The following is a 22,479-nucleotide window of genomic DNA, read 5'->3' as shown; positions in this document are numbered from 1 at the left end:
CTCAGGACAATAAAAGGGCTGTAAGAAGCCAGCACAGTGGCTCATGCATGTAATCCCAGCACTTTGGGAGGCCGCAGCAGGAGTATCACTTGAGGCCAGAAGTTTGAGACCAGCCTGGCTAACATGCCGAAACTCTGTCTCTACTAAAAATGCAAAAAATAGGCAGGCATGGTGGCAGGCACCTGTAATTTCAGCTACTCAGGAGGCTAAGGAACGAGAATCACTTGAACTGGGAGGTGGAGGGTGCAGTGAGTCTGGATTGCACCACTGCATTCCAGCTTGGACGACAGAGCAAGACTCTATCTCAAAAACAACAACAACAACAACAACAACAACAAAAACGGGCTGTGGGGACATACTGGGCCTAGGGAATAATTGGGTCAGGGGCATGGACTTGGGTGACATTTGGGTGTGGGGTCACTGTTAAGACTAGAGCCCTTGGCCGGGCGCGGTGGCTCACGCCTGTAATCCCAGCACTTTGGGAGGCCGAGACGAGCGGATCACGAGGTCAGGAGATCCAGACCATCCTGGCTAACACGGTATACACCTCGTCTCTACTAAAAATACAAAAAAATTAGCTGGACATGGTGGCGGGTGCCTGTAGTCCCAGCTACTCTGGAGGCTGAGGCAGGAGAATGGTGTGAACCCGGGAGGTGGAGCTTGCAGTGAGTCGAGTTCGCGCCACTGCACTCCAGCCTGGGCTACAGACCAAGACTCCGTCTCAAAAAAAAGAAAGAAAGAAAAAAAAAGACTTGAGCCCTCAGGCCGGGCGTGGAGGCTCATGCCTGTAATCCTAGCACTTTGGGAGGTCGAGGCGGGTGGATCACCTGAGGTCAGGAGTTTGAGACCAGCCTGGCCAACATGGTGAAACCCAATCTCTACTAAAAATACAAAATCAGTCAGGCGTGGTGGTGGGCGCCTGTAATCGCAGCTACTCAGGAGGCTGAGGCAAGAGAATCACTTGAACCAGGGAGGCAGAGGTTGCAGTGAGCCGAGATCGCAGCACTGTACTCCAGCCTGGGTGACAGAGTGAAATTCTGCCAAAAAAAAAAAGACTAGAGCCCTCCTACATAAAAAAAAAAAAAAAAAATGGAGACAGGGTCTTGCTCTGTAGCCCAGGCTGGAGTGCATGGTGCAATCATAGCTCACTGCAGCCTTTACCTCCTGTGCTCAAGGGATCCTCCCACCTCAGTGTCCTGAGTAGCTGGGACTATAGGTGTATGCCACCATACCCGGTTCATTTTTTATTTTATTTTAGTTTGTATTTTTGTAGAGATGGGGTCCTGCTATGCTGTCCAGGCTGGCTTTGAATTCCTGGCCTTAAGTGATCCTTGTGTCTCCACCTCCCAAAGTGGTATTACCAACGTCAGGCACCATGCCTGGCCTTAGAGTCCTATTTGAATTTGGGGACCCTCTTGGGACTGGGCTATTATTTAGGTCTGGAGGCACAGTCAGGTCTGGGGACCCTGGCATCCTACCCGGTCCTCGCGGCTGCCTGTCTCCTCTTCTTCAGGACCTCGTGAACTGGAGCCGTCGCTGCTGCCAGGGATTCGCATCAGGTTCTTTTGCTCGGAGAAAGAGGCTGAGGCTGACAAACAGCGACCGGTGGAGTTAAGCGATGGGCGGGGTCACAATGTGTGCAGACCAATAAGCGGGAAGAGAGAGGACTGGGAACCAATGAGGCTGATTGGGTAGGGCTGTTGGAAACCAATAAGAATCATTCCCACCGAGGAGTGTGACCCTGGGAAGGCCTAGTTAGGGCTTAAGGAGGGAACCAGAACGTGAAGGAGAGCTAAGCCCTGTGCAGAGCTGGAAATGGGACTGGAGCCAAGGCCCAAGGCCAGGTCAGGTCACTGGGCAGGCAGGGCGCGTGTGGGGCTGGGGCCTCGGGAGCCGGGGCGGGGCTCAGGCACTAACCCTTGCTGTGGCGCCAGCAGCAGAGGGCCACCCCAGTGATGACCATAAGGAGAGTTGTGGTGGCAGCGGCCACTCCGGCCACTATCCGCACAGTGGGCAGCAAGTCTGCAGGGAGCAGAGGGGACATCCTGAGAAGGCTGAGGGGGAACCAGGAAGCGGGGGCTCAGGGATTGAGTTTGGGATTCCTGGGTTCAAAAGGTCGCACATTTGAAGATTCAAAGGCCCTTGAATTTGGGGTTCCCCAAGTTTGAGAGTGAGTTTAAACTCCCTGGCTTTAGGGAGTCTTAGAATTTGAGGGGTCCTTTACTTTGCAATTTGCTTTGCAATCATTGGAGTTTCCCTTTTTGGGGCCCCTAGGTGTGAGGAGTCTCTCAGTTTAGGATTCAGAATGTGAAGGCATTTGTGGTTGAGGGGTGTCTTGGGAATCAATGAGCCCACAGTTTTGAGACTCCCGAGGTTTGGAGGTCTCCTCTGCATTTGAGGGTATGAGGTTTTGCAGCCCTCGGCTGGGGGATCCCTGCGTTTGTGGGGTTTAGACTCTCCAGATTTGGGGTCTTCGGGCTGGGGTCTCACCTCTACGGCCCAGGCTGGCCTGGGCACCTCCCTCGCCCAGCCGGTTCCGGGCACTGCAGTTAAAGCTCCTGCTAAAGTCAGACTCCTGGGTCCCCGAAATGTGTAGCACAGAGATCAGGCCCGGACCCAGTCCCCCGCGGCTCTCTGGGGCAGGGAATGTCTCCACCAGGAACCGGCCCTGCGACCCCGCCTCCAGGAAGCCCTCATCCCAAGACCAGACCTGGGGGCACAAAAGAGGGAGGACACGGAGGAGACTGAGGAGGGGAGGAAGAAGCAGGAGGGATGTCTGGGAAGTCAGAAATGGTCACAGTAGTTTCGGGGGGCCAGGTGGGAGGTCAGGGATCACGGCTGGATGGGTCACGGGAGGAGTGACATTTCCTTACCACGGCATCTGGGGCGGGAGAGGCGAAAACCAGACACTGGAGGCGAGCAGGGCCCCTCAGGAAGGCAGGCGCAGAGTGCAGGGCGGTCACTACTGGGGGAGCTGGGATGGAGACTGTAGGTCACTCAGAGGAGAGGTCTTGCCCTCCCCAAAGGCTGTAACAAAGCCGGGTCTGTCCAGCGCACTCTCCGCTAACCTCAATCAATCAGGCCACGCCGCCTCCAAACTCCGATTCTCCTAAAAGCCTCGCCTTCAATAGGTCCGGTCTCCAGCCCCCGCTGGGTGTAAAGCTCCTTCCAGGCCACTCCCACTGCATTAGCCCTTGCCCCCTCTGTCCGCTCCCTATCCCAGGACGGGCCAGGTCCCCTAGGAAGCCCCGCCTTCTCACCGTTCACAGTCAGCCGAGCCTCCGCGGCGCCGCCCCGCAGGCCCGATAGCCCAGCCTCAGCTCTGCACACATAGTCGCCTGCGTCCTCGGGCCCCACCGACGGAAGACGCAGTGTGGCTCCAGAGCCCAGCACCTGCGACAGGGAAGGGGCGTCAGAAGCCGGATTTGTAAGGAAGCCTGGTCCCCCTCCAGCCACCGCCTCAGATTTAGGGCTGTACCTGCGCGCCACCGCGGCGGGTCCAGGTTACCCGTGGAAGCGGGTTCCCGCGCCAGGCGCAGCTGAAGGAAGCGTCTTCCCCCACGTCCACGGACACGGGCTCCGGCTTTGCCTGCAGAATCGGCCCAACTGGACGAAAGAGACTAGGGGTCACATGGCCGGGGCGGAATGCAGCCACTGACCTGGGATCAGCCAGCCCCACAGAAACACCACACCCTCTAGGGCGCAAGAATATGCCCCAGCTCCACACTCTCCTCCTCCTAATACCCCACGCTCGCTCTCCCGGCCCCGCCCCTCCAGGCCCCGACCCTCAACAGCCCTGAAAGCCACGGCCACCTTTGACCACACCCACAGGCCGGCCCCAGCTCACACAGCACATCCAGCGCAGTACTGCGGTTGGCGCTACCCACGGCGTTGCTGACCTCGCAGGACACGGGCTCAGTCAGGAACGAGGCGTCTGCCACGACCTCTAACCTTGGCCCGCGGGCCCCGAGCACCGGAGAGCCCCCTTTTGCCCACCTGAGGAAATGGTGGCGCTGTTAACGTTGTCCTGGCCTCTCTGGCACACCTACTCAGGTCCCAGCCCTTCCCAAGCTCACTCTTGGGGCTGGGGAGAGGTGGGTCTTCGTCCTCACCTGTAGCCTGTGACAGGAGGCTGGGCTGTGGCCTGGCACAGGAAAATGACCTTCTCTCCCTCCTGCACAGTGTGTGGCGAAGCAGACAGAGTCACCTCTGGGGGGTCTGTGAGGGTGGGACAATGGTCAGATGGGCAAGGACCAGGAACACCTCCGTCACTGGCCTAGGTGTCCAGTCCCTGGTTCCTCCATCCCAGGAGTCTGGGCCCCTAATCCCCTTCTCCCTTTGAGCCAGGAGTCTGGGCTTTCAGTTCCCAATTTCCCCAGTTACCTCAATGTGCCAGCCTTCTGCCCTCTCCTAGTCTCCCCGATGTGAGAGTCAAGGCCCAGCTTTCTCTTTCCCCAGGGACCCCAGCTGTCTGTCCTCTCCTGCTCGGAGTCTCACTCTGCTGCTGAGTGGCATGATCTCGGCTCACCGCAACATCTGCCTCCCGGGTACAAGTGATTCTCCTGCCTCAGCCTCCCAGGTAGCTGGAATTACAAGTGTGTGCTACCACGCCCGGCAAATTTTTGTATTTTTAGTAGAGACGGGGTTTCGACATGTTAGCCAGACTGGTCTCGAACTCCTGATCTTAGATGATCCGCCTGCCTCGACCTCCCAAAGTTCTGTGAGTACAGGCGTGAGCTACCATACCCAGCCCTCTCCTGCTATCTTAGATCCAGGAGTCCAGGCTCCAGTTTCCTCATTCCCCAAGGGCCACAGTCCCCTCCTTCCTCATACCCAGGAGTCAGGGCCCCACACCCCTCTTTCCCAGGGCCAGCTGCACTCACACTGCAGGCTCAGTGTGATAGCTGTGTCTCTTCCTGTGGGCAGGGCCTGGCTCCGGGCCCGGCAGACAAAGGTGGCTCCATCATCATGGCTGAAAGGGGTCAGGGTTAAGGTGCTCTCCACTGACCCAGGGGTCCCTTCCTTCAGCAGGGTCTGGAGGGAAGGATAAGAATAATAATGCCATCTACCCATCAGGGGTGTCCAATCTTTTGGCTTTCCTGGGCCACATTGGAAGAAGAATTGTCTTAGGCCACACATACTAACACTAATGATAGCTGATGAGCTAAAAAATTACAAAAAAGTCTCATAATGTTTTAAGAAAGTTTATGAATTTGTGGTGGGCCACATTCAAAGCCATCCTGGGCTGCATGCAGCCCATGGGCCGCAGGTTGGACAAGCTTGCCTTACTTATATAGTGCTCACTATGTATTGGTCACTCTTCTGGGCATTTATAGGTATTTATTTATTTAATTCTCACAATACCCTATGACATGCATGCTACTATTATCCTGATTGTATAGATAAGGCAACTGAGGCACAGAGAGGTTAACTAACTTACTCAAGATCAATCAACTAGCAAGTGGCTGAGACATAATTTGAACCCAGGTAGTCTGGCCCTAGAATCTTTACCCTGCATCATATTTCAAGAGTCCAAACCCATGAACCTCTGCCCTCCCATGTCTTCTTCTCTTCTGGATGAGCCTGTGGTCAGAGTGTAACCCAAGTTTCCCTCAATGGGCAAAGGCTAGCACAGGAATTTGGACCTGACCTGATGGAAGGTGGCTCCATCCAACAGGACCCCATCTCGGAACCACAGCAATTCAGGGGTAGGGCGGGCATCCCCACGGCTCCGACATGTCAGGTTCGCAGGAACTCCAGCAACCAGAGACACAGAGGGGCCGCCCAGCACCTGGGGGGCTTCTGGGGGGACTGCAAGGTGGATTTGGGGTCAGAGATGGATCCTGATCTTCTCAGCTCCAATTGACCATGCCCCTGGGCTCCCTGGGCTCTGCTACTCACAGCTAGTACGGGCTGCCCTCTTGGGCTCCCAGGGGACAAGTGGGCGAGGTCCTTACCCAGCACGTGCAGTTGGGCTGGTCTGGAGCGGAGGCCTGCTTGTGTAGCCTGACATTCATATGATGCTTCATCCTCTAGCTCCACGGGCCTAATGTGGAGGTCATGCTGGCCATTGGCTGCATTCCCTGATATCCAGTACCGGGACCACCCTGGAGTCAGGGAGAAGGCAGTCAGCACACCATGGTTCTGAAATCCTGGCCTCAGGCCTCCATCCCCAGACATCCTCCACCAGAAAACTGGCCCACACATTTGGTGGTAAGACACTATTAAAAAGTGTGTACTGGGCCCAGAGAGACTCTAACTCCCTCCCAACCCAGAGTCACTGCAAACTTAGGGGTAATAAAGTCAGGAAGGAAAGCAAGAAAATGATTGCCATAAAAATTAGGTTAGATACTACTTCTGGAGTGAGGGGGAGGGGGCTATGATAGGGGAAAGGAACACGGGGTCTTCTGGGGAGCTAGCAATGGACTTGGGTATTGGCTGTGTGTGTCTATTTTATTTGGTAAATCTTCCATTTATATTTACTGTACTTTTTTGCATTTATGTTCTCTTTTTTTTTTTTTTTTGAGACAGGGTCTCACCATTGCCTGAAGTGCAGTGGCTTGATCATGGCTCACTGCAGCCTTGAACTCCTAGGCTCAAGCAATCCTACCACCTAAGCCTCCTGAGTAACTGGGACTATAGATGCACACCACCATACCCGGCTAATTTGTTTAAAATATATATATACATTTGTGTAGAGATAAGGTCTTGTTATGTTGCCCAGGCTGGTCTCAAACTCCTGGTTTCAAGCGATCCTCTGGCCTCAACCTCCCAAAGCGTTGGGATTACAGGCGTGAGCCACTGCACCTGGCCTATGTACTATTTTGCAATAACATAATAATTCCCAAACTCCGTGGGTCACCCCCAAAGAAGCAGCTCAAAAATCAGGACTCCTAAATGTTTACCCGAGCCCATCAATTTCCCAAACTTGAAAATGTCAAAATAGAAACTGCAGGTACAGCCGAGCCCAGCAACTCTCCCCCTAGCCAGCCCGTCCCAGCGTGGAGAGAACACTCTTACCTGGTAGGTCCCTTTGGCCCCCTAGGGCCAGCCCACTCTTAGTCCACTGAACTAGCCCCCAGTAGGCGCCCAGAGCACACGGCAGCCGGGCTTCCTCCCCCAGCAGCACCACCAGGTCCTCTGGCTGTTGCAGGAAATGGGGCGACGGGCCTAGGAGAGTTCGGGGCAGCAGGGCTGAGCTTAGCACCTTCAGGGGCCTCCTCATTCAGGACCCAGGAGTCCCAGCCCCCAGCTCCCTTCTCGCTAGTGAAGAGGCAGCCCGCAAGCAACTCCCCACCCCCACCCCATATTCCTCCGCTCCCCTCGTGCGGTACCTGCTCTCCCTCTGAAGCAGAAGAGGAGGACGAGGAGGGCGGGGACCCGCATCCTGAGCATTCGTCCCCCAAGGTTCACGAGATTTGCCGTCGCACTGGCCTTCCCGTCAACTTCTTCCTCTCAAGCACGCCTCCTGTCACCCTGGCCCGGAGCCCCCTTCACGCTCGACTCTTCGCCCAGCCTAGTCTCTGGCCTGGAGTCCTCCAAGTCTGCTCATCCGCAGCCTCTGACGCTCTGAAACGCCTGCCAGTTCCGCGGCCTGGGTCTCTGGGAGACCCCAAGAGGGCCCGATCCCGCTCGCCCCGCCCGGGTCCGCCCCCCGGGAGCTCCGCCCTCTTCCCGTTGAGAAACTCCCGCGGCTGAGACGCGGATGAATGGGGGACGCAGGGCGGGATCCCCCGGCGGGTGGGCGCCCCCAGCTCAATTGGGGTCTGGGAGCCGGAACACCTGGGTTCGAGGAGGGAGGGGGTCCCGGCTGGGTTGGACACCTGCGCCCTGCCGGGGTTGAGGGGCAGGCAAGGGGTGAGGAGGAGGGAAGGGAGAGAGTGGAAGAAACTTGCTCAGCCCAGGTCCTAGAGGGACTGCGCTCAGTGGAAACTGAGCTATAAATGGGAGCTCCTGGGGCCTCGCCAGTTTCCGCGCCCTGGGGGATGCGGGGTCCGGGGCTCCCCCGGGCCTGCGTGTCGGGAAGAGGGCACACCGATACCTGGGGGACAGTTGGGACCCCTACCTCGACTCCCCCAGCCTCAAAACCCCTCCTCAAAATATCCCTCTGTTCCCTTGTTATTGCTGCAAACTACAGCACGTCCTAAGACCCAGGAATCCAGGCCCTCGGCCCCTCCTTTCCCAGGACCCCGCAGTCCCAGCCCAACCCCTCTCCCCACTCGGCCGGCCGGGCCCCTCGGCCTGGTTGCCCGGCGACGGCTGGGAGGCGGCGGTGCCGGGCCGGGGCAGGCAGGGAGGCTGGGAACCGCGCAGCTTGTCCTGACGGCTCCATGCAGCCCAGCTGGGGCGTTCCCACGCTGCGCAGCTGGCCGAGCAGGTGGGAGGGACCCCGAGCAGCCTGAAGGAGGGCTGGGGGGCTGGGACCCTGATCTGACATTCCTGGACCTGTAAGAACTGGAGGGTCCACATTCAGATTCTCCACTGTTCTTAGGCTCAGACTCCGTGTCCCTAAATGGGGGAGTGGGGTTGGGAGTGGGGGTTGGACTTACAGGGTTATAAGGGACTGGTGGTTCAGGCCTTTGCTGGCTGAGACGCTGATGGCCTGATCTCCCGGTTCCTTGAGAGGCTGGAGACTCAAGGTGCACTCAAGTGCATGGTGCACTTGGAAGAGGGTGACAGGGGTCAGAATATCTGGTCTTAAGTCTTAAGAGTCGGTGGATCTATCTGCCAATCTCTCCCCACCCCCACACAGGCCCAGGAGGATTTGGAAATCAGACCGTGAACATCTGTCCTAAGTCCTGTGTGTATGTGTGTGTGTGTGTGTGTGTGTGTGTGTGTGTGTGTGTGTGTGTGTGTGTATGGGGAGGTGCGGGGGTGGGTAGTGTGGCCAGGAGGATCAGAGGCCCAAATTCCCGAGTCCTTGGAGAGAAGGGACTGAGACCCCAGGGTCTGAGAGGGGAGGGATCTGGGGGCCTACACTCCCGGCTTCTGTGTGGCTTATCTAGTGCCTGGATTTTGAAATAGGATGGACATGGGGCTGGAACTCCTGAGTCTTAGGGAGGAACTCAAGTCATGGGGCTGTTTTTCCAGGCACTTGACGCCGCTTCCCCTTCCTGGCTCTCTGGGGCTACGGACATGGAAAGATGGAGAGCCCAAGGTCCCAGGAGCATGCAGAGAAGGAAAACAGCCAAGGTGGAGGGTGGAAGGTTTGTGCTTATTAAAGGCCCCAGCAAGGGACAGCTCCACGCTCTGGCACCTAGGGACACCATCTGGCGAGGGCCCCCAGGACAGAGCCACTCCCCCAGCTCGGCATCCAGCCCATTTCCCAGGGGGTGTAGAGAGCAGTTGGGAGAGGGGAGGTGGGAGGAGGGCAAGGAGTCAAGCATGTGAGGGAAGATGGAAGTCCAGCATCGAGGATGAAGCTGGGGGCTGAGGCCAGATGCCTCATCTTGTTCCTGGGAACGATATTGGCGGGGGTCTTGGGGAGGTAGGGAGAAAACTAGCATTTCCAATTCCCGCAGGAGATAAGCAGGCAGAAGAAGCTTATCCCAGGCAAGTGTATGTGCACGCGGGGAGGGCAGGCCCACCAGCATATGGTTATAAAATCCAGGGATGTGATGAGCAGAGCCACTCGGAGATGGAGAGACACATAAGAGAAAGAGGCGTGGTCAGAGTGTGGCTGAGAACAAATATTTATGGAGCTCCTGGTGTGTGTGAGACAGACTGTGGGGTGAGGGGAGCGACAGAGGTGAGAACAGAGACAGAGAAACAGAATAACAGAGACATATAGAGATGGAGAGACACAGTGAAATAAAGATTGACTGAGATTTAACAACTTAATATAGAGAGCGAGAGAGTCTCAAACAGATGGAGAAAGATAGAAAGATAAATCAGCTGGGCACAATGACTCACGCCTGCAATCCCAGCACTTTGGGAGGCCGAGTCAGGCTGATCACCTGAGGTCAGGAGTTCGAGACCAGCCTGATCAACATGGAGAAACCCCGTCTTTACTAAAAATACAAAAAATTAGCCAGGCGTGGTGGCGCATGCCTGTAATCCCAGCTACTAGGGAGGCTGAGGCAGGAGAATCGCCTGAACCCGGGAGGCAGAGGTTGCAGTGAGCCGAGATCACACTATTACACTCCAGTCTGGGCAACAAGAGTGAAACTCCATCTCAAAAAAAGAAAAAAGAGAAAAAAGAAAAAAAAGAAAGATAAATCAAGGGCCAGGTGCGGTGGCTCATGCCTGTAATCCTAGTACTTTGGGAGGCCGAGATGGGAGGATTGCTTGAGCCCAGGAGTTCCAGACAAGCCTGGGCAATATAGCAAGACTCTGTCTCTGCAAAAACATTTAAAAAAAATTAGCCAAGTGGCGGGGTGCAGCGGCTCCCACCTGTAATCCCAGCACTTTGGGGGGCCAAGGCAGGTGGGTTACCTGAGGTCAGGAGTTCGAGACCTGCCTGGCCAACATGGCGAAACCCCGTCTCTACTAAAAATACAAAAATTAGCTGGGTGTGGTGGTCAATGCCTGTATTCCCAGCTACTCAGGAGGCTGAGGCAGGAGAATCGCTTGGACCTGGGAGGCGGAGGTTACAGTGAGCCAACATCGCACCATTGCACTCCAGCCTGGGTGACAGAGCAAGACTCCCTCTCAAAAAAAAAAAAAAAAAAAAAAAAATAGCCAGAGTGGTGATGCGGGCCTGTAGTCCCAGCTACTCAGGAGGCTGAGGCAGAAAGAACACTTGAGCCTAGGAGGTTTGAGGCTTCAATGAGCCATGATCACACCACTGCACTCCAGCCTGGGCAATAGAGAAAGACCCTGTCTCTACAAACAAATTTTAAAAAATTAGCTGGAGTGGTGGTGTGCACCTGTAGTCCCAGCTATTCAGGAGGCTGAGGCAGGAGGATCACCTGAGCCCAGGAAGTTGAGGCTGCAATGAACCAAGATCATGCCACTGCCCTCCAGCCTGGGCAACAGAGCAAGATTCCATCTCAAAAGAAAGAAAGATAAATCAAGATAGATAGAGGGAGGGAGAGAGAGAGACATGGAGAAGGAAAGAAGAGATGGGAGAGAGGGCAAGAAAAAGAGGGAGAAGAAAGCTCATGCAGTCCTTGCCAAAGGGCGCCCACTTTGGGCTCACACTGCACCCACACTGGGGGCCGGTGGAATTGGACTCTGCCTTTTACTCCCGCCCACACCCTGTGCACTCCCACGTAAGACACTGTCACACACACGCTCTCCACATGCTTATTACAGATCGCAGTTCACTCTAACCTTCCCCACTCTCACACCCACGTACACACATGCATATCTTCCCTCTCTCCCACACTCTCCCAGCCTGTCACACTCACTCTTGCATCCTCCCCAGCAGAGATCCCTGACATCATTTAGGCACTGATGTCTACTAAAAAAGGAAGGGAGGCCAGGTGCGGTGGCTCATGTCTGTAATCCCAGCATTTTGGGAGGCTGAGGCAGATGGATCACCTGAGGTCAGGAGTTCGAGACCAGCGTGGCCAACATGATGAAACCCCGTCTCTAGTAAAAATACAAAAATTAGCCAGGCATGGTGCTATATACCTGTAGCACCAGCTACTTGGGAGACAGAGGTGGGAGAATTACTTGAACCTGGGAGGTTCAAGCCATGGGAGGTGGAAGTTGCAGTGAGCCGAGATGCCACTGCACTCCAGCCTGAGCAACAGAGCAAGACTATCTCAAGAAAAGAAAGAAAGAAAGAAAGAGACTTGCCAAGGTCATGTATCAGGGCAAGGAAGAGCTGGGGGCCCAGCTGGCTGCTCCCCTGCTGAGCTGGGAGACCACCTTGATCTGACTTCTCCCATCTTCCCAGCCTAAGCCAGGCCCTGGGGTCACGGAGGCTGGGGAGGCACCGAGGAACGCGCCTGGCATGTGCTGACAGGGGATTTTATGCTCCAGCTGGGCCAGCTGGGAGGAGCCTGCTGGGCAGAGGCCAGAGCTGGGGGCTCTGGAAGGTACCTGGGGGAGGTTGCACTGTGAGAATGAGCTCAAGCTGGGTCAGAGAGCAGGGCTGACTCTGCCAGTGCCTGCATCAGCCTCATCGCTCTCCTAGGCTCCTGGCCTGCTGGACTCTGGGCTGCAGGTCCTTCTTGAAAGGCTGTGAGTAGTGAGACAAGGAGCAGGAGTGAGGGGTGGCAGGAGAGAAGATAGAGATTGAGAGAGAGAGAGAGAGAGAGACAGAGAGAGAGGAAGAGACAGAGACAAAAGGAGAGAGAACGGCTTAGACAAGGAGAGAAAGATGGAAAGATAAAGAGACTGGGCGCAGTGGCTCACGCCTGTAATCCCAACACTTGGGGAGGCCAAGGTGGGAGGATGGCTTGAAGGAAAGAGTCTGAGATCAACCTGGCCAACATAGTGAGACCCCGTCTCTAAAAAAAAAAAAAAGAAAAAAAAAAGAAAAAAGAAAAAAAAGTTTTTTTAAAGAGACAGAGAAAGAGACTCAGAGATTGAGACTGAGAGCAAGACAGAGAGAGATACTCACAGGGAAGAGGGGAAGAGGAAAACGAGAAAGGGAGGAGAGTAACGGAAAGAGATAAAAAAGAAAAGCAGGTGGCAGAGACACACAGAGAGGGACCCAGAGAAAGCCAGACAGACGCAGGTGGCTGGCAGCGGGCGCTGTGGGGGTCACAGTAGGGGGACCTGTGATGGCCCTGGGGACGACGCTCAGGGCTTCTCTCCTGCTCCTGGGGCTGCTGACTGAAGGTGAGTGGGATCCCAGCCTTGTACCCAGCGCCAAGTGGCCCCCATTTCCCACTTACCTTCCCTAGACAAACCCTCTGCCCTTTCCTTGCACCGCGCTGTGTCCTCAGGCCTGGCGCAGTTGGCGATTCCTGCCTCCGTTCCCCGGGGCTTCTGGGCCCTGCCTGAAAACCTGACGGTGGTGGAGGGGGCCTCAGTGGAGCTGCGTTGTGGGGTCAGCACCCCTGGCAGTGCGGTGCAATGGGCCAAAGATGGGCTGCTCCTGGGCCCCGACCCCAGGATCCCAGGCTTCCCGAGGTACCGCCTGGAAGGGGACCCTGCTAGAGGTAAGGGATCAGAGCCTGAGACCCTCAGCCACCAGCGGAAGCTGCGGCCCTGACTTCCGGCTCCCCCTGCAGGTGAATTCCACCTGCACATCGAGGCCTGTGACCTCAGCGATGACGCGGAGTATGAGTGCCAGGTCGGCCGCTCTGAGATGGGGCCCGAGCTCGTGTCTCCCAGAGTGATCCTCTCCATCCTGGGTATGGGTGAGAGACGCCCAGGACCCATGAGTCTGGGCTTCAAGCCCTCCCCTACCCCGCAACCCGGAAGTCCAAGCCCCCAGCCTCTCCTCTCCCAGACTCTGGGTACCGAACTCCAATCTTCAAGTCCTTCTCAGTGCTGGAAGCTTACCCCAGACCCTTCTCTCACCAGTTCCTCCCAAGCTGCTCCTGCTGACCCCAGAGGCAGGCACCATGGTCACCTGGGTAGCTGGGCAGGAGTACGTGGTCAACTGTGTGTCTGGGGACGCGAAGCCAGCACCTGACATCACCATTCTCCTGAGTGAGTGTGGGTGAACTGGGTGGCAGGGGGCAGCATGAAGCCTCTGGAGTGGGAAGGGTGTGTGTTCCTGACCAGTACCCTTCTAAGGGCCCCAGAAAAGATGTCATCCCTGGGATGGGGACCCAGGAGAAGGTGTGGGGAGATGCTGAGGCCAGTGTGGGACCCAGTGGATGCGAGGGCACATCGAGGGCGGCAGCAACCAGCACAAGGCTGAGGCCCAGATAGAAATATGGGCAGTAGCGCTGGTGCAGACATGAGAAGCTGAGGGATAGGGTGCATGGTACAACCCAGCAAGGAGTTGAGAAGAGCGGGGAGGCCCAGGACCCAGCACTGAAGACTGCGGCATTCAGGCAGTCCAGAAAGTCGGGAGGGGATGCAGCTCTGCCCCAGGCCCTTTTCCTCTAGAACGAGGAGGGAGGGGGCATCGCACCCACCCTGAGGACTTCCAGGCCATGCTCCCCAGAATCTATCTTGCGGGGAGCCTGGAACCCCTCTAGCCCTCTTGCTGCCCCAAGGTGGACAGACAATATCTGACATCTCTGCAAACGTGAACGAGGGCTCCCAGCAGAAACTCTTCACTGTGGAGGCCACAGCCAGGTGTGGAAACTGAAACAACCCCCCAACCTTGACCCCTAATTTTCCCCATGGGAACCCCAGACCCCAGGGATGCAAGCATGAAGCTTGGGCTAGGTATGAACATCTGGGACCCAATTCTTCATCCTGACTCTCAAAGCTTCTTCATGGGGAACAGAGGTGGTGGCTCATGCCTGTAATCCCAGCACTTTGGGAGGCTGAGGTGGGCGGATCACCTGAGGTCAGGAGTTCAAGATCAGCTGGGTCAACATGGTGAAACCCTGTTTTCACTAAAAATACAAAAATTAGCCGGGTGTGGTGGCGCATGCCTGTACTCCCAGCTCCTCAGGGGGCTGAGGCAGGAGAATCACTTGAACCCAAGAAGTGGAGGTTGCAGTGAGCTGAGATTGTACCACTGCACTCCAGCCTGGGTGATAGAGCCAGATTCTGTCTCAAAAGACAAACAAACAAATAAACAAACAAAAAAACTTCATGGGAACCTCAGTTCTAGAGTCCCAAGCACTAAAGTTTTGGTCAGATGTGGGGCTCTCTAGGCTCCAATTCTCACTGTTCACCCCCAAAATCTCTCCCATGGAACCCTGGATCCCAGAGGAGATCAGCATGGGGACTTAGACCAGGTGTGGGGACCAGAGGTGACATCCCCACCTCTTCTCCCTGACTCCCCAAATTTCAGATGATGACTCTGACTCTATAACCCTGACTTCTCATCCCAGGGTGACACCCCGGAGCTCAGATAATAGGCAGTTGCTGGTCTGTGAGGCGTCTAGCCCAGCACTGGAGGCCCCCATCAAGGCCTCATTCACCGTGAATGTTCTGTGTAAGTGGAGAACTGGGCCAACTAGGGCGCTGAGGATGGGGAGCAGGCACTGGGGGGTGTGGGGGGATCACAGGGATTATGGAAATTCAGGCACTCAGAGAAACATGGGGGTTCAAAGGCAGGTTGTGGGGCCTGGAAAGAGTGGATGGGCTACTCCAGGCCCACTGAGTGACTGATATCCCCCAGTCCCTCCAGGACCCCCTGTCATCGAGTGGCCAGGCCTGGATGAGGGGCACGTGCGGGCAGGACAGAGCTTGGAGCTGCCGTGCGTGGCCCGAGGGGGTAATCCCTTAGCCACACTGCAGTGGCTGAAGGTGAGGGCAAACGCGGGCATGGGGAATGGGGGGACAGTGGGGTCTGGGAGCCAGTCCTGAGCTGGCCCAGGCCTGTCCCTGTCTCCAGAATGGCCAGCCGGTGTCCACAGCGTGGGGCACAGAGCACACCCAGGCGGTGGCCCGCAGTGTGCTGGTGATGACCGTGAGGCCAGAAGACCATGGAGCGCAGCTCAGCTGCGAGGCCCACAACAGCGTGTCTGCAGGGACCCAGGAGCACGGCATCACACTGCAGGTCACCTGTGAGTCCTGGTGCCAGCTGCCCCCCTGTCGGTCTGTGCCTCAGAGAACCATCTGTGTGTGCCCCCAAATTATGCCTACTGGATGCCAAAGATCTCAGCATCTGTCTCCAGTCCTGTTCTGTCTGGGCTGGTCTGTGAGAAATCCAGCCCAGCTTAGTGTCTTCCTTCTCTGTCCCTGCAGTTCCCCCTAGTGCCATTATTATCTTGGGATCTGCATCCCAGACTGAGAACAAGAACGTGACACTCTCCTGTGTCAGCAAGTCCAGTCGCCCGCGGGTTCTGCTACGATGGTGGCTGGGCTGGCGGCAGCTGCTGCCCATGGAGGAGACAGTCATGGATGTGAGGCGGGGGCCAGGCTCCTGGGTCTGAGCATGGAGGGGGCTGAGGGCATGACTCGTGGATAGGGAAGGGGTGGGTCCAGCAGCCTGGGGGGCTTTCTCCTTGAGGACCATGGGTCCAACAGAGGGGGAGGTAGAGATGTCTCCTGTGTCCCTGCTGGGGACTGGGATGGACTCAGGCCTCTAGCACGATGGATAGGGGTGCTGCAGTCCCCACGTCTGAAGCTCACTCCCTGCCAGGGACTGCATGGCGGTCACATCTCCATGTCCAACCTGACATTCCTGGCGCGGCGGGAGGACAACGGTCTGACCCTCACATGTGAGGCCTTCAGTGAAGCCTTCACCAAGGAGACCTTCAAGAAGTCGCTCATCCTGAACGTAAAATGTGAGCCCCTGCCCTGGCCCAGCAATGCCCCCAAGCCTCAGGACCCAGCACAGAGAAAAAGTCATTCTTCCTTCCTCTCCCCGCCAGATCCCGCCCAGAAACTGTGGATTGAGGGTCCCCCAGAGGGCCAGAAGCTCCGGGCTGGGACCCGGGTGAGGCTGGTGTGTTTGGCTATCGGGGGCAACCCAGAGCCCTCCCTCATGTGGTACAAGGTTGGTGCCACGCCAGGGCTATGGGGGTGGCCAGGAATGTGGGGGAAGGACCAGGCCCCTTCTCTCCTTCAGAATCTTGGGCAATCTTGGAAAAAGATTAAATTTCTTGAAAAGTACTAAAGATTCTGAGGTTTGGCAGGGAATCAGGAAAGACACAAATGCTATGAGAATTAAATGGAATCCTAGGAAAATTCTGGGGAAACAGTGAGAATTTTAGGATAAAAATTGGAATTCTGAATCAAGATTAGGCATTCTAGAGAAAAGGTAATTTCATTAAAATTAAAGAAAATTCTAGTGAAAACCCTCAGAATTCAGGTGAAATGTCAGGAATTTTAGGGAAAGACTTGAATCCCAGAAAAAAAAAAAAAACAATGCTGTAAAATTTGGCTGGGCACAGTGGCTCACGCCTGTAATCCAAGCACTTTAGGAGGCCGAGGTAGACGGATCACCTGAAGTCGGGAGTTAGAGACCAGCCTGACCAACATGGAGAAACCCTGTCTCTACTAAAAATACAAAAAATTAGCTGGGCATGGTGGCGGGGGCCTGTAATCCCAGCTACTGGAGAGGCTGAGGCTGGAGAATTGCTTGAATCCGGGAGGCCCAGGTTGTGGTGAGCCGAGGTTGTGCCACTGCACTCCAGTCTGGGCAACGAGACCGAAACTCCGTCTCAAAAAAAAAAAAAAAAAAAAAAAAAAAGGCTGGGCACAGTGGCTCACGCCTGTAATCCCAGCACTTTGGGAGGCTGAGGCGGGCGGATCACGAGGTGAGGAGATCGAGACCATCCTGGCTAACACGGTGAAACTCCGTCTCTACTAAAAATACAAAAAATTAGCCAGGCGTGGTGGCAGGTGCCTGTAGTCCCAGCTACTCGGGAGGCTGAGGCAGGAGAATGGCGTGAACCCGGGAGGCGGAGCTTGCAGTGAGCCGAGATCGTGCCACTGCACTCCAGCCTGGGTGACAGAGGGAGACTCCGTCTCAAAAAAAAAGAAAAGAAAAGAAAAGAAAATTTGGAGAAAAGCTAGTAATTCCACAGACTATCGGAAATTCATTAGTATTAAACTGAACTCTTGGGATTTGGAGGCAAGAAAATGAAATTTCATTAAAATGAAAGAGAAGCCTAATAGAATTCTAGGAGAATCCTGGGAATTAGGGAGCTAGTTGAAAACTTTGGGGGGAAGACTAGAAATTATAGAAATGACAATGGAATTTTATTTTAATTGGATGGAATTCTGGGGAAGTGCTGAGAATCTGGGCAATACAAAGGAATCTGTTAAAAGACTGGGATCATAAGATATTATAATATCGGGAAAGATTCAGAAATCTATGGAAAGTTTAATTTGTGCAGCAGCAATAATAAAAAAAGGAAGTAATCTATGGAAAGACACTGGAATTAAGGAAAATTTCAAAGGAAATCTTTGGGGACAGCAGGAATTTTAAGAAAAGGAACTGAGGAACTCTGGGAAAGGCCTGGGAATTTCAAGGGAGTTTCCTGCAGGTGGTGTTGGGTAAACACAGCAGAAATAGATTTTGAGGAGTGCGCTGAGAGCCTGCAGGTGGCTGCAGAGGCAGAGCAGGAGTTGGGTGTGGGACAGAAGGCGGATTCAGATCCCCAAAACTGCCATGCACAGGGACTCGGGGAGGCGGGAGAGACTCCAGGGAGGGGGTCACTCAGTTCCACTCCCCACTGCTTTGCCCTAGGGGGGTGGTGCTGATGAGAGTGCTTCTCCTTATCAGAAAAAGGCTTTGTTTGGGCTGGCGGCACCAACCCAGTGGGCAGGGTAGGGGGGTTGGGGGTTGGTGGAAGCGGCAGGGCTGCCTGCGAACCCCAGTCACTCCCGGCCCGTAGGACTCGCGCACCGTGACCGAGTCGCGGCTGCCGCAGGAGTCGCGGCGCGTGCATCTCGGCAGCGTGGAGAAATCTGGGAGCACCTTCTCCCGAGAGCTGGTGCTGGTCACAGGGCCGTCGGACAACCAGGCCAAGTTCACGTGCAAGGCTGGACAGCTCAGCGCGTCCACGCAGCTGGCGGTGCAGTGTGAGGGCTCGCACTGCTGAGGCCCGGGGGCGGGGCGGGAGGGACAGAGCCAGGTGGGGCAGGGACCCAGCGAACCCTGGACCCGGGGAAAGCGGGCGGAGGCGGGGTGGGGGACCCGAGACTGGGCGGAGCCTGGGGTGCAGGCGGGGTGGACGCAGACCAGGCCGCCCCTAACCTCTGAGTCTCGCTCCTCCAACCCCGTCTCCCAGTTCCCCCAACTAACGTGACGATCCTGGCCAACGCATCCGCACTGCGCCCGGGAGACGCCTTAAACTTGACATGCGTCAGCGTCAGCAGCAATCCGCCGGTCAACTTGTCCTGGGACAAGGAAGGGGAGAGGTGGGAGTGCGAGGGATCCCTCCCCTCTCTGGTCTGGCCTCGCCCCCTCCACGCATGTCCCGCCCCCGCCTAGTGCCTCTCCAGCCTCTGGCTCCGCTCGCAGCCCTGGCTTGACCCCGGTTCCACAGGCTGGAGGGCGTGGCCGCCCCACCCCGGAGAGCCCCATTCAAAGGCTCCGCCGCCGCCAGGAGCGTCCTTCTGCAAGTGTCATCCCGCGATCATGGCCAGCGCGTGACCTGCCGCGCCCACAGCGCCGAGCTCCGCGAAACCGTGAGCTCCTTCTATCGCCTCAACGTACTGTGTATGTGCCCCGGCCTGAAAGCCCCTCTCGATGCCTTCTTGACCCTAAACTACTCCTTGGGTCTTACCTTTTTTTCCTTCTTTTTCTCTTCTCTCTCTCTCTCTCTTTCATTTTTTGTCGCTCAGGCTGCAATGCAGTGACGCAATCATAGGTCACTGCAGTCTCCAACTCCTGAGCTCAAGTGATACTCCCACCTCAGCCTCCCGAGTAGCTGAGACTACAGGTGTGCGCTACCACGCTTCGCTAGTTTATTTTTACTTTTTGTAGCAACGGGGTCTCACTATGTTGCCCAGGCTGGTCTTGAACCCCTGGGCTCAAGCAGTTCTCCTGCGTTGGCCTCTCAAAGTGCTGGGATTACAGGCGCGTGCCACTATGCTAGGCTGATTTTTTGTACTTTTAATTTTAAATAGAGATGGCATTACTCTATGTTGCCCGGGCCGATCTTGAACACCTTGACTCAAGTGATCCTCCTGCCTTGGCCTCCCAAAGTGCTGGGATTATAGGCGTGAGCCACTGCACCTGGCCTGGGTCTTTGCTTTGACACTATCACTCTATCATTAACCCCATCCTGAAACTTGAAACTCCCGACCTTCATCCTGACCCGTGGTCCTGGGCCAACTCCTATCCTGCCTCCTCCCATCTTGCATTTGTCCTCTCTCCTAACCCCCCTCATGACTCCTGTTTCCATCCTTCAAACTGACCCTGGCTTCTGCTCTTTTCCTAAACTGTATTCTAACTTCTATCCCGAACCTTACCCCTGAGCTTAGCTCTGAACTTGTTACCTTGTCCACAACCTTAAACCCCGTCGTGACCCCAACTTTAACCCTTGAACCTGTGCCTGATCTCCAATCTGTCCTTGACCCTAACCTTAACAACAATCTTGACTCCCTGCGGCGCCCCCTCTGAAGACCGTCCAGAGTTCCTGGGGGAGCAGGTGCTGGTGGTGACCGCGGTGGAGCAGGGCGAGGCGTTGCTGCCCGTGTCCGTGTCCGCTAACCCCGCCCCCGAGGCCTTCAACTGGACCTTCCGCGGCTATCGCCTCAGTCCAGGTGAGGGAAGTGGTCATGGGGAGGGGTCCCGGGGATGGGAGGTCCTGCCAGGTCCCTTATTCTGGCCTTCCCCAGCGGGCGGCCCCCGGCATCGCATCCTGTCCAGCGGGGCTCTGCATCTGTGGAATGTGACCCGCGCGGACGACGGCCTCTATCAGCTGCACTGCCAGAACTCTGAGGGCACCGCGGAAGCGCGGCTGCGGCTGGACGTGCACTGTGAGCCCCGCCCACCATGGAAACCACACCCACCCAAGGAACCTTGCCCATTGTGGAGTCTCCTCATTGTGGGAGCTCCGCCCACCCAGGGATAGCCACCCATCCTGGAACCCTCCCGTTCTGGAAGTCCCAGCCGCGGTGTAACCACGCCCACTGCGGAACCCCTCCCACTAGAGAGACCCAGTGTGGAATCTCTGCCCAGAGAGGGTGCCCGCCTAGACACGGAAGCTGCTCCCGTCAGGAATGAGAGCCCACTGTATAAGCCCTGCTACACACACAATTCTGGAAGCCCACTCAACTCACTCTAATTATCACAGAGGCATAGTGGAGGGTGGAGACAACCTCACCAACCTTGAGAACTCTCCTCCAACCCTTTGGTATTAAGGGCAGATTGTGTCCACACCCATAACTTTCCTGGAACCCCTAAGACATCCCTCCCACCTGGGGCCCTCTCACACCCAGACCTGTCTGGGCCCAAGTGTCTTCCCCAAGCCTCTGCCTTCCACCAGATGCTCCCACCATCCGTGCCCTCCAGGACCCCACTGAGGTGAACGTCGGGGGTTCTGTGGACATAGTCTGCACTGTCGATGCCAATCCCATCCTCCCGGGCATGTTCAACTGGGAGAGACTGGTGAGGATCCAGCCTTTGGTGAATAGAGGTGGGGTCAAGGGGTTGTGGTTTCTTGACTGTGAGTTCCTTGGGAGTGGGGACCACATACATCTGTATGACCCTTATAACTATATACTCGCCAGGGCATGCTCCCAGAATGAATAACTGTTGGTGGCAAAATGAATGCATGGATAAATGGCTAGACAGCCAGGCGAGTGGGTAGGTAGATGGATAGATAGGTCAAAAGGTAGGTAAGTGGATGAACAGGTGGATGAATGAGTGAGTGGATGGAGGAACAGATGGACAAGTGAAAGGATGGATAAATGGGTGAGTGGATGGGTGGGAAGATGATTGAAGGAGAAAAATCAGTGGATAGAGGGTAGATGATGGACGGATACACCATCAGAGGAAAGATATCTATGGAAGGATGATGGATGAATTGATGAATGGATGGGTGGGTAGATCAATGGAAAGATGAATAAATAGGTAGCTGGGTAAATGTCTGAACAGATGCATGTATTTATGGGTGTGCAAGCGTGAGTGAATAGTTGAGTGAATGGGTGGAGAGCTACAGGGGTGGATACATGGGTGCAGAGAAGGAAGACAAATGGGTGGAGGAATGAGTGAGTGAACCGATGAGTGGATGGAAAGATAAATGGATGAATGGAGAGATAAGCAGATGGATAAATGAATGGATGGACGGATAGATGGTTCCAAGCATAAGTGGTTGGGTGAATGGATGGGTAGGTGGTTGCCTGGATTGGTGGATGAAAAGATGGATTGAGTAAATGGATAGATGGATGACAGGAGAATTTTTTTTTCTTCAATACCTCTGTGGAGGGTGATTGTGGCTAGGAGAATGAGGCTACAGAAGGGACAATTTGGGCAGTGATGGATCTGGGGCTAGACTGGGAGGCCAATTCTGGACTCTTGGGCCTCCAGGGAGAAGATGAGGAGGACCAGAGCCTGGATGACATGGAGAAGATATCCAGGGGACCAACGGGGCGCCTGCGGATTCACCATGCCAAACTGGCCCAGGCTGGCGCTTACCAGTGCATTGTGGACAATGGGGTGGCGCCTCCAGCACGACGGCTGCTCCGTCTTGTTGTCAGATGTGGGTATTACCCAAACACCTGACTTCAAGACCTGCCACTGAACCCACAGCCCTCATGTCTCCCACATAGCTCATGTTGACTGCCCATCCCCTCCCAGTTGCCCCCCAGGTGGAGCACCCCACTCCCCTAACTAAGGTGGCTGCAGCTGGAGACAGCACCAGTTCTGCCACCCTCCACTGCCGTGCCCGAGGTGTCCCCAACATCGTTTTCACTTGGACAAAAAACGGGGTCCCTCTGGATCTCCAAGATCCCAGGTGAGCCCAAGCCCAGCCAGGCAGCACTCCAGCCCCAGGTCTGGACCTCCAGCCCCACTTCCCCTCCCTGAGTCCCTGCAGAGAAGGA

General features: G+C 55.8%; 2 protein-coding genes and 1 long non-coding RNA gene across 13 annotated transcripts in view, besides 5 other annotated features; 2 read left to right on the top strand and 1 right to left on the bottom strand.

Annotated features, from left to right (window-relative positions):
• Nucleotides 1–1,600, top strand: part of LOC107985317 (uncharacterized) — a 6,443-nt gene extending 4,843 nt beyond the window's left edge. Inside the window, exon 4 of the long non-coding RNA XR_001753932.2 lies at nucleotides 1,514–1,600. This is a non-coding gene — a long non-coding RNA (uncharacterized LOC107985317). The remainder of the gene's footprint in view (nucleotides 1–1,513) is intronic.
• Nucleotides 1–13,116, bottom strand: part of KIRREL2 (kirre like nephrin family adhesion molecule 2) — a 15,738-nt gene extending 2,622 nt beyond the window's left edge. For 2 of the 11 annotated variants that reach the window (NM_199180.4, NM_032123.7), the window contains exons 1-13: nucleotides 7,335–7,604; nucleotides 7,021–7,170; nucleotides 5,958–6,107; nucleotides 5,651–5,811; nucleotides 4,884–5,034; nucleotides 4,113–4,218; nucleotides 3,848–3,996; nucleotides 3,479–3,606; nucleotides 3,261–3,393; nucleotides 2,874–2,974; nucleotides 2,491–2,710; nucleotides 1,918–2,022; nucleotides 1,479–1,588 (exon numbers count right to left, since the gene is read on the bottom strand). In NM_199180.4, the coding sequence (NP_954649.3) occupies nucleotides 1,479–1,588; nucleotides 1,918–2,022; nucleotides 2,491–2,710; nucleotides 2,874–2,974; nucleotides 3,261–3,393; nucleotides 3,479–3,606; nucleotides 3,848–3,996; nucleotides 4,113–4,218; nucleotides 4,884–5,034; nucleotides 5,651–5,811; nucleotides 5,958–6,107; nucleotides 7,021–7,170; nucleotides 7,335–7,395 (1,725 nt within the window). In that variant the 5' untranslated portion in view covers nucleotides 7,396–7,604. Of the gene's footprint in view, nucleotides 1–1,478; nucleotides 1,589–1,917; nucleotides 2,023–2,490; nucleotides 2,711–2,873; nucleotides 2,975–3,260; nucleotides 3,394–3,478; nucleotides 3,607–3,847; nucleotides 3,997–4,112; nucleotides 4,219–4,883; nucleotides 5,035–5,650; nucleotides 5,812–5,957; nucleotides 6,108–7,020; nucleotides 7,171–7,334; nucleotides 7,605–12,791 lie in introns of those variants that run through there. The other 9 variants (NM_001329530.2, NM_199179.4, XM_011527362.2 and 6 more) reach the window with 8 other exon arrangements.
• Nucleotides 2,875–3,627: an enhancer, noted in NCBI's record as "H3K4me1 hESC enhancer chr19:36351790-36352542 (GRCh37/hg19 assembly coordinates)". NCBI's record gives its function as "activates a minimal SCP1, AML or CMV promoter by ChIP-STARR-seq in naive H9 embryonic stem cells {active_cell/tissue: H9 hESC(naive)}" and the evidence as "EXISTENCE:reporter gene assay evidence [ECO:0000049][PMID:30033119]".
• NPHS1 (NPHS1 adhesion molecule, nephrin) overlaps nucleotides 12,011–22,479 on the top strand; it is a 27,133-nt gene continuing 16,664 nt past the window's right edge. Inside the window, exons 1-19 of the mRNA NM_004646.4 lie at nucleotides 12,011–12,735; nucleotides 12,843–13,058; nucleotides 13,131–13,253; nucleotides 13,426–13,554; nucleotides 14,070–14,151; nucleotides 14,862–14,965; nucleotides 15,152–15,279; nucleotides 15,368–15,539; nucleotides 15,721–15,878; nucleotides 16,118–16,262; nucleotides 16,350–16,474; nucleotides 18,321–18,507; nucleotides 18,717–18,846; nucleotides 18,975–19,147; nucleotides 20,056–20,196; nucleotides 20,272–20,412; nucleotides 20,922–21,043; nucleotides 21,965–22,136; nucleotides 22,235–22,391. Coding sequence (NP_004637.1) covers nucleotides 12,678–12,735; nucleotides 12,843–13,058; nucleotides 13,131–13,253; nucleotides 13,426–13,554; nucleotides 14,070–14,151; nucleotides 14,862–14,965; nucleotides 15,152–15,279; nucleotides 15,368–15,539; nucleotides 15,721–15,878; nucleotides 16,118–16,262; nucleotides 16,350–16,474; nucleotides 18,321–18,507; nucleotides 18,717–18,846; nucleotides 18,975–19,147; nucleotides 20,056–20,196; nucleotides 20,272–20,412; nucleotides 20,922–21,043; nucleotides 21,965–22,136; nucleotides 22,235–22,391 — 2,663 coding nt within the window. The 5' untranslated portion in view covers nucleotides 12,011–12,677. The remainder of the gene's footprint in view (nucleotides 12,736–12,842; nucleotides 13,059–13,130; nucleotides 13,254–13,425; nucleotides 13,555–14,069; nucleotides 14,152–14,861; nucleotides 14,966–15,151; nucleotides 15,280–15,367; nucleotides 15,540–15,720; nucleotides 15,879–16,117; nucleotides 16,263–16,349; nucleotides 16,475–18,320; nucleotides 18,508–18,716; nucleotides 18,847–18,974; nucleotides 19,148–20,055; nucleotides 20,197–20,271; nucleotides 20,413–20,921; nucleotides 21,044–21,964; nucleotides 22,137–22,234; nucleotides 22,392–22,479) is intronic.
• Nucleotides 12,083–12,724: an enhancer, noted in NCBI's record as "H3K27ac-H3K4me1 hESC enhancer chr19:36342693-36343334 (GRCh37/hg19 assembly coordinates)". NCBI's record gives its function as "activates a minimal SCP1, AML or CMV promoter by ChIP-STARR-seq in primed H9 embryonic stem cells {active_cell/tissue: H9 hESC(primed)}" and the evidence as "EXISTENCE:reporter gene assay evidence [ECO:0000049][PMID:30033119]".
• Nucleotides 12,725–13,365: an enhancer, noted in NCBI's record as "H3K27ac-H3K4me1 hESC enhancer chr19:36342052-36342692 (GRCh37/hg19 assembly coordinates)". NCBI's record gives its function as "activates a minimal SCP1, AML or CMV promoter by ChIP-STARR-seq in primed H9 embryonic stem cells {active_cell/tissue: H9 hESC(primed)}" and the evidence as "EXISTENCE:reporter gene assay evidence [ECO:0000049][PMID:30033119]".
• Nucleotides 16,230–16,405: a silencer, noted in NCBI's record as "fragment chr19:36339012-36339187 (GRCh37/hg19 assembly coordinates)". NCBI's record gives its function as "represses an EF-1alpha promoter that drives an FKBP-Casp9 reporter gene in an ReSE screen in K562 erythroleukemia cells {active_cell/tissue: K562}" and the evidence as "EXISTENCE:reporter gene assay evidence [ECO:0000049][PMID:32094911]".
• Nucleotides 18,929–19,181: a silencer, noted in NCBI's record as "fragment chr19:36336236-36336488 (GRCh37/hg19 assembly coordinates)". NCBI's record gives its function as "represses an EF-1alpha promoter that drives an FKBP-Casp9 reporter gene in an ReSE screen in HepG2 liver carcinoma cells {active_cell/tissue: HepG2}" and the evidence as "EXISTENCE:reporter gene assay evidence [ECO:0000049][PMID:32094911]".

The sequence above is a fragment of the Homo sapiens genome, chromosome 19, assembly GCF_000001405.40.
Source record: "Homo sapiens chromosome 19, GRCh38.p14 Primary Assembly".
NCBI lineage: Eukaryota > Metazoa > Chordata > Mammalia > Primates > Hominidae > Homo > Homo sapiens.
Note: the sequence above shows the minus strand (reverse complement) of the source record. Positions and strands in the feature narration are given on the sequence as shown.